We start from the raw sequence: 9,105 nt of genomic DNA, 5'->3' as shown, positions 1-9,105 counted from the left end.
GGTACAGCTGCAAAATGCAAATATTTCTCTATGTATATTCATGTTCGCTCCAGAGATAAAGATCGACAAACCTGCTGAGCTGGTATTTTATGCACTATTTTTCTGTCTGCTTTTTAACAAGGGGCTCCACATTCCACATACGATCTACATTTCATTTTAACTCCCAAGTTCTTGGCTTTACTCTTTTCATGTCAGCTTTATCCTTTTAACCACCTGTTCGATAGTGATTTCTCAGCTTCAAATTCTAGCTTGCTTTTCTTCCCCCTCAGAAATGTCCTGTAATTTTATTTATTGTTTCCTGAAGTGTGGCACTTGCTCATAATTTCATGAATGACAGCCTTTTCCCAAAGGGAACCAAAATAGTAGTTATTCTCCAGCTCCACTTCACAACCATATTTAAATGCAAATACAATCACTTCCATTCTATCTGCTTTGCTTCTCATATCTGATCTAAACTATCAAGACATTACCAAAATCTAGCTTTTGTTTTTTGTGATGGTGACTTTTCATTTTTATATACACGTTTTTGGGGTTGTTCAAGAATTATATAATGCCCAGGTACAAGTTATAAGATAGCTGTACTATGGCTACACTTCATTATTAAGTAGACTATTTGATTTCCTCTACACTTATCAATCTATCCCTGTGCTTTTGCTTTTATTGGTCTCCCGGCCTGGACATTTAGTTCCTCTTTGCTTCTGTTACCCAATTGATAAAGACAGTGGGGCCTGGAGCCTGACTTACCTAAGATCACACAGTTAATTAGGACATAACTGAGCCTAGAGATAATCTCTGGACTCCTGGTCCCCTGGGATCTTTCCACCGCACCCCACTGCTTTCTTCAAGGTTTAGTTCAAATAATGCCTATCTAAGAAGTCTTCTTGAAACCTTCAAACAGAAGTAATCTGTCCTTTCGTTCAGCACCTGCATGCTTGAATTGCAGCCCCTCGGATGCTTATCCCTTTATTTATTTGTTTGTTTGTTTGTTTGTTTGTTTATTTTTGAGACGGAGTTTCGGTTTTTTTGCCCATGCTGAAGTGCAATGGCGCGATCTCGGCTCCCTGCAACCTCTGCTTCCCGGGTTCAAGCGATTCTCCTGCCTCAGCCTCCTGAATAGCTGGGATTACAGGCATGTGCTACCACGCCCAGCTAATTTTGTATTTTTAGTACAGACAGGGTTGCTTATCACTTTTTATTTGGCACTATTGTTATTCATGTACAGGCCTTTATTTCCTCTCTTCATGTCCAGTTCTTTGAGACTCGAACCTGCTTTACTTTTGTGTCTCTCATATCACCTAGCCTTCTTGTATTAGTAGGTGCTCAATGTGTATTTGTTAAATTAATTAGACCCCTTTCACATTTTGCACAACTTGTGGTCATGGAAATCATGTGTAAGCCAGAAACCCCAGCATGCCAGTTGGCTTGGGGAATTCTTTTGAGCCATGCCTTTCTGCCTGTTGCTCAACACTTCTGTGGTTCTAGAACTTCATTGTCCAAGAGAACTTTCTGTAATGATGGAAACGTTTTATATCTGCACTATCCAATATGGTACCACTAGCCACATATGGCAATTGGCCACCTACATGTGGCTAGTGAGACTGAAGAAGTAAAATTTTAATTTTATTGAACTTTAATTAATTTATATTTAAATAGCCACATATGACTAACAGCTGCCACATTGTACAGCATGGTTTTAGGCACCCCATTTTGATAAATTCACTTGTCTTGTCCCATTCAACTTGGTTACATAATTCTAGATGGCCTGCTGCTCAGTGAGAAATGACATTTTTGTCCTCAAGTCTCCAGCCTTCAAGATTCCATGCCTTACATTCCTCTTTCCCCACTTTTCTCCTCAGGAGAAAGATGAGATTCCTAAAGATTTTCCTAAGCACTCTGATCTTCACCCATCTTTCTTGCTCAGAATCTGACTGTGTTGGTAAAGCACCAGGGTATAAATGTCTAATGCCTAGGTGTATGGTGTTTGCTGCTATTTTGAATCTTAGATTTTGCTAAATAGATTATAAACTTCTTGAGTGTAAGGACCATGCATTCCATATCTTCTGGATCCTCCCTGTTGCCTATTCCACTGCCAGTTATATTGTAAATGTTCTATAAATATTAATCAATTGATTGATTTAAGGTGGAAAAATGGTCTGGGAGCAGTGGCTCACACCTATAATCTCAGCACTTTGGAAGGCCAAGGTGGGCGGGTCACTTGAGGCCAGGATTTCTAGATCAGCCTGGGCAGCATAATGAGACCCAGTCTCTACAAAATTTTTTTAAAAGTTTGCTGGGCATTATGGTGTGTGCCTGTAATCCCTGCTGCTTGGGAGGCTGAGGTTGAGCCCGGGAGGTTGAGGCTGCCGTGAGCTGTGATAGCACTACTGCATTCCAGCCTGGTTTACAGAGTGAGACCCTGTCTCAAAAAAAAAAAAAAAAAAGGAATCTAGTACGAGCAAGAAAGGACAATATCTGAGAAATAGGGAAGGGGGTTGTCAAAATCTCAAGATTTACTTAGCACCCTAAAGACTAAAGGACTTTTAGAATTATTTCACTTATTCCCATAATTGTTTCACAAACGCCCGTTCGTATTATTTAGTATTAGTCATCTAAAGAACTCAATTTAAACAATTTTTCAGAGTACGCAGGTGGCAACACTATGTTAGCCATTTTGAACGTATTCCTTCCTAAGAGGGTCTTCTATCAAAGAAACTTTTATTATTGTTATTTTTATTTTTTAAATAGAGATGGGGTCTCCCTATGTTGCCCAGGCTGATCTTAAACTCCTGGGCTCAAGCAATCTTCCCACCTCAGTCTCCCAAAGTTCTGGGATTACAGGTCTGAGCCACCACACCTAGCCTACCAAAGAAACTTTCTGATCATGTTTATGAACCTCATCGTAGATAACTTACTGGGAAATTGAGGAGTTGTTAGGTACCTAAAACAGCACATTTGGTGGAAGTAGGATAAGAATGTGTCGCATATTTGTTTAAAACCTTCTCAAGGTAGGCTCTTGAATGTATATAATGCCATCCTGCTTTTGTGGATGAGGTAATAAAAGCAAAGGTGTTAGTGTCATGCCTAGGTCTATGGAAAGTATTTTGGTTTACTTTTCCTTCTTCCTTTAGCACCCAAATTACACTTTAGCAAGATTGAGCTCCTGTGGAAACCTAGCCTATGGCAAAATTCCTGCTGACCACACCCTGTGTGAGACCACAGTCAGTCTTTAAGAGGCTCTGCCAGGAGGACTTAGTAAATTAATGATAGCTGCAAAGTTAGAAGGCCCAACCTGGAATTCTCTCTCCTGTAGAGCCACACTGCCTTCCTGCCTGTGCTCCAACCATTATCTCACAGTGCCCAAAATATGAAAAGAAAATTAGGAGCCAGGAGGGAGTTGTCTTTGTGGGACAAGAATTTCAGCTGGCAGTAGTTAATCATATTTTTCCAGCTATTTTGACATGCATTATATAAGGGAACAAATTCCAAGACAAAACAAAAAATAAAATGCTTGTGACTCTAGAAGTGCAAACATAGGGTAAATTAGAGCTGGCTTTTCTTGTTAACTTTGTATTTACACAGGATGGATTTGTTTAAGTAATTTCTCTTTTTTTATTTACATAAAGCCACAAATCTAGTATGTTATTTCCCGATCCATTTTTATTTCTGCTGATTTTCATATGTTTAAAATGTGTTTTCGTTTTCAACAGGCTGAAAATGCTTATGAATCATATGCACACATACATATGTATAATAAATCACTTTTATAGGACCGATCAAATCTGGCATTCTTTGTAGTCCACAGTGGTTCACATTTTCGAGGCTTTTCACCCTGTTTTGAACTGCAACTTAACACTCACAAAATAGGTTGTTCAAAGGTAAAGGTTCTGCTTACAGGCACTTGCCTTTGACTAGGTACACCTAGATTAAGTCCTGAATAAAATGGAGGAAATAACTTCTGTCTCATCTCCATTTATTTCAGGACTAATGAAGAAAATGCACTTAGTAGTCTGTACCAACGCTGCCCAGTGTAGAAATAACATAGGCGACATGAATATGGTGATTTTTTTTTTTTTTTTGAGATGGTGTCTTGCTCTGTCACCCAGGCTGGAGTGCAGTGGTGCGATCTCGGCTCACTGCAACCTCTGCCTCCCGGGTTCAAGTGATTCTCCTCCCTCAGCCTTCTGAGTAGCTGGGATTACAGTAGCCCACCACCACACCCGGCTAATTTTCGTATTCTTAGTACAGACGGGGTTTTGCCATGTTGGCCAGGCTGGTCTCAAACTCCTGGCCTCAAGTGATCCGCCTGCCTCGGCCTCCCAAAGTGCAGGCGTGAGCCACTGCGCCTGGCCCACTGATTTATTTTCTATTGCTATAGTTCTGCCTTTTCCAGAATGTTATATAAACAGAATCTAATGATATGAGTCTTTCTGGTTCTTTCACTTATCATGATGCATTTGAGATGCATTCCTGTTGGAGTGCCTTTCAATTGTCCTTTCCCTTTTCTTACTAAGCAGTATTCCATGGTATGGATGTACCACAGTTTGTATATCCCTTTTCCCAGTGAAGGATGTTTAGGTTGTGATATGGTTTGGATTTGTGCTCCTGCCCAAATTTCATGTCAAAAGTAATCCCCAGTGTTGGAGAAGGGGCCTCGTAGGTGGTGATTGGATCAGGGGGCAGATTTCCCCCTTGCTGTTCTCGTGATAGTGAGTGAGTTCTCACGAGATCTGGTTGTTTAAAAGTGTGTGACACCTCCTCCTTCCCTCTCTTCCTCCCGCTCCAGCCACATAGGACGTGGTTGCTTCCCCTTCCCTTTCTGTCATGATTGAAAGTTTCTTGAAGCCCCTGCAGCCATGCTACCTGTACAGAACTGTGAGCCAAGTAAACCTTTTTTCTTGATAAGTTACCCAGTCTCAGGTGGTTCTTTATAGCAGTGTGAGAATGGACTATCCAGTGTTTGATGATTACAAATAGAACTACTGTAAACATTCATATACAGGTTTTTCAGTGAACATAAATTTTCATTTCTTTTAGGGTAAATACTCAAGAGTAGTATCAAGGTTTTTTGTTTTTGTTTTTGTTTTTTTGAGACAGGTTCTTGCTTCATCGCCCACGCTGGAGTGCAGTGGCACAACCTTGCTCACTGCAACCTTCCATCTACCGGGCGCAGGTGATTCTTGTGCCTCAGCCTCCTGAGTAGCTGGGATTACAGGCACGCACCATCACACCCAACACATTTTTGTGTTTTTAGTAGAGACAGGGTTTTGCCTTGTTGGCCAGGCTGCTCTCAAACTCCTGGCCTCAAGTGATCTGCCTTCTTCAGCCTCCTGAAGTGCTGGGATTACAGGCGTGACCATCACACCTGGCCTGGTATCAAGGTTTTAAGGTATATGTTTAACTTTATAAAAAATTCCCAAACTGTTTTCCAAAGTAGTTGTACCATTTTATATTCCCATCAACAATGTATGAGAGATCCAGTTTCTCCACAATCTCACCAGCATTCATATTATCATTGTTTTGTATTTTAGCTCTTCTACAAGATGTGTAGGAGATAGTGCTTTTAATTTGCAATTCTCTAATGACTAATGATGTCAAACATCTTCTCATATGCTTTTTTAGCTATTCATATACCTTCTTTAGTGAAATATCCAAGTCTTTATATACATATATATATATATATATATATATATATATATATATTTTTTTTTTTTTTTTTTTTTTTTTTTTTTTTTGAGATAGGGTCTCAGTCTGTCACCCAGGCTGGAGTGCAGTGGCACGATCTCAGCTCAGTGCAGCCTGCACTTCCCAGGCTCAAGTGATCCTCCTACCTCAGCCTCCCAAGTAGCTGGGACCACAGGCATGTGTCATCATGTTCAGCTAATCTTTTAATTTTTTGTGAGGTCTCACTATATTATCTAGGCTAGTCTCAAACTCCTGGGCTCAAATGAGCCTCCCACCTTGGCCTCCCAAAGTACTGAGATTATGGGCAAGAGCCACTGTGCCTGACCACTATTTTCTAATTTGATATTTTTCTAATTGTAGAGTTTAGAAAGGTGTTTTTTGTTTTTTGTTTTTGTTTTTGTTTTTTTTTTTTAGAAAATGGATATATGTCCTTTGTTGGATATGTGATTTGAAAATATTTTCTCTCAGTGTATGCCTTGTATGTTTTAAAAAATAAACTTTATTTTTTAGAGCAGTTTTAGCACAGCAAAATTGAGTGGAAGGTACAGAGATTTCCCATATAAACCTGCCCCTACATATGCATAGCTTCTCCCAGTGCATTTCCACACCTTCCATTGTAGTGGTGCATTTGTTACAACTGATCAACCTACACTGACACATCATTCTCACCCAAAGTCCTGCATTTACATTAGGGTTCACTCTTGGTGTCCTACATTCTATGTGATTGGACAAAGATACAATGACATGTATCTGCCATTATAGTGTCATATAAAGTATTCCACTGCTCTAAAAATCTTCCGTTTTCTATTTACTTACCCCTCCCTCCCCACCAACCCCTAGCCACCAATGATCTTTTTACTGTCTCCATAATTTTGCCTTTTCCAAAATGTCACACAGTTGGAATTAGACAGCATATAGCCTTTCAGATTGGCTTCTTTCACTTAGTAACATGCACTTAACTTCCCTCCATGTCTTTTCATGGTTTGTTAGCTCATTTCCTTCTAGTGCTGAATAATACCCCATTGTCTGGATGTACCAGTTTATTTATCCATTCACCTACTGAAGGACATCTTAGTTGCTTCTGAATTTTGGCAACTATGAATAAATCAACACCTGCGTGCAGGTTTTGTGTGGACATTTTTTTTTTTTAACTCACTTGGGTAAATACCAAGGAGTGTGAATGCTGGATTGTATGTTAAGAGTATGTTGAGGGTTTTTTTTGTTGTTTTTTTGTTTTTTGAGATGGAGCCTGGCTTTGTCACCCAGGCTGGAGTGCAGTGGCCTGATCTCAGGTCACTGCAACCTCCACCTCCTGGGTTCAAGCGATTCTCTGCCTCAGCCTCCCGAGTAGCTGGGACTACAGGCGTGTGCCAACATGCCTGGCTAATTTTTGTATTTTTAGTGGAGACGGAGTTTCACCATATTGGCCAGGCTGGTCTCGATCTCCTGACCTCGTGATCTGCCCACCTCGGCCTCCCCAAGTGCTGGGATTACAGGCATGAGCCACCACGCCCGGCCAAGTATGTTGAGTTTTGCAAGAAACTGCGAAACTGTCTTCCAAAGTAGCTGAACCATTTTGCATTCCTACCAGCAAAGAGTGAGCGTTTCTGTTGCTCCACATCCTCATCAGTATTTGGTGGGGTTAGTGTTCTGGGTTTTGGCCATTCTAATAGATGTGCAGTGGTGTCTTGTTTTAATTTGCATTTCCTGATGAGGTATGATGCTGAGATTTTCATGTGCTTATTTGCCGTCTCTGTATCTTCTTTTGTGGGGTGTTTGTTAAGATCTTTGGCCCAGTTTTAAATTGTTTTTTTTTTATTGTTGCTTTTTAAGAGTTATTTTTATATTTTGGATTACAGCCTTTTATCAGATACTTATTTTGCAAATGTTTTCTCCCCATCTGTGGCTTAGCTTTTCCTTCTCTTGACAGTATGTTTCAAAATTTTTAATATTAGTGAAGTCCAGCTTATTGGTTCTTTCTTTCATGGATTATGCCTTTGATATTTTATCTAAAAAGTCATTTCCAAACCCAAAGTCATCAGATTTTCTCATATGTTATCTTCTAGAAATTTATAGTTTTGTGTTTTATATTTAGATCCGTTTTTGAGTTAATTTTTGTGTAGGGTGTAAGGTCTTTGTCTAAATACATTTTTTTGCCTGTCGATGTCCAGTTATTCCAGCACCATTTGTTGAAAACATTATTTTTTTTTCCATTGCATTGCCTTTGCTACTTTGTCAATGACAAATTAGGATTGCATTGAATTTATAGATCAAGTTAGGAAAAACTGACATCTTGACAACATTGAGTCTTCCTCTCCGTTAATGCGGACTATCTCTCCATTTATTTAATTCTTTGATTTCTTTCAACAGAGTTTTGTAGTTTTCCTCATATAGATCTTGTATATGTTCCATTAGATTTATACTAATTGTTGCATTTTTTGGGTGCTAATGTAAGTAGTATTGTGTTTTTATTTTCAAATTCCACTTATTTGCTGGTATAGAGGAAAAAAATTGACTTGTTTATTAAGCTTGTACCCTGCAATCTTGTTATAATTGCATATCAATTCCGGGAGTTTTTGTTTTATTTATTTATTTTTTAAATGTTTTCTTTATTTTTTATTTTTATTTATTTTTTTATTTTTTTAGACACTTTCGCTCTTGCTGCCCAGGCTGGAGTGCAATGGCGCGATCTCGGCTCACCACAACCTCCGCCTCCCGGGTTCCAGCGATTCTCCTGCCCCAGTCTCCTGAGTAGGTGGGATTACAGGCATGTGCCACCACACTCGGCTAATTTTGTATTTTCAGTAGAGATGGAGTTTGTCCATGTTGGTCAGTCTGGTCTCAAACTCTCAAACTCAGGTGATCTGCCCGTTTTGGCCCCCCAGTTATTTGTTTGTTTTAAGAGGTAAGGTCTCTGGCCGGGTGCGGTGGCTCACGCCTGTAATCCCAGCACTTTGGGAGGCTGAGGCGGGCAGATCACGAGGTCAGGAGATCAAGACCATCCTGGCTAACACGGTGAAACCCCATCTCTTCTAAAAATACAAAACCAAAATTAGACAGGCTTAGGGGCGAGCGCCTGTAGTCCCAGCTACTCGGGAGGCTGAGGCGGGAGAATGGCATGAATCTGGGAGGCGGAGCTTGCAGTGAGCTGAGATCGTGCCACTGCACTCCAGCCTGGGCGACAGAGCGAGACTCCTTTAAAAAAAAAAAAAAAAAAGGTGGGGAGGGGGTGCCGGGCGCAGTGGCTCACACCTGTAATCCTAGCACTTTGGGAGGCCGAGGTGGGCGGATCACGAGGTCAGGATATCGAGACCATCCTGGCTAACACGGTGAAACCCCGTCTCCACTAAAAAATACAAAAAAATTAGCCAGGCATGGTGGCGGGCACCTGTAGTCCCAGCTACTTGGGAGACTGAGGCAGGA

The 9,105-nt window shown here is 40.5% G+C and overlaps 1 annotated feature.

Moving 5' to 3' along the window:
• Positions 2,571-3,331: an enhancer, noted in NCBI's record as "H3K27ac-H3K4me1 hESC enhancer chr1:227576538-227577298 (GRCh37/hg19 assembly coordinates)". NCBI's record gives its function as "activates a minimal SCP1, AML or CMV promoter by ChIP-STARR-seq in primed H9 embryonic stem cells {active_cell/tissue: H9 hESC(primed)}" and the evidence as "EXISTENCE:reporter gene assay evidence [ECO:0000049][PMID:30033119]".

The sequence above is a fragment of the Homo sapiens genome, chromosome 1 (genome assembly GCF_000001405.40).
Source record: "Homo sapiens chromosome 1, GRCh38.p14 Primary Assembly".
NCBI lineage: Eukaryota > Metazoa > Chordata > Mammalia > Primates > Hominidae > Homo > Homo sapiens.
The sequence above is the reverse complement of the archived record's forward strand: the minus strand, read 5'-3'. Positions and strand labels throughout refer to the sequence as shown.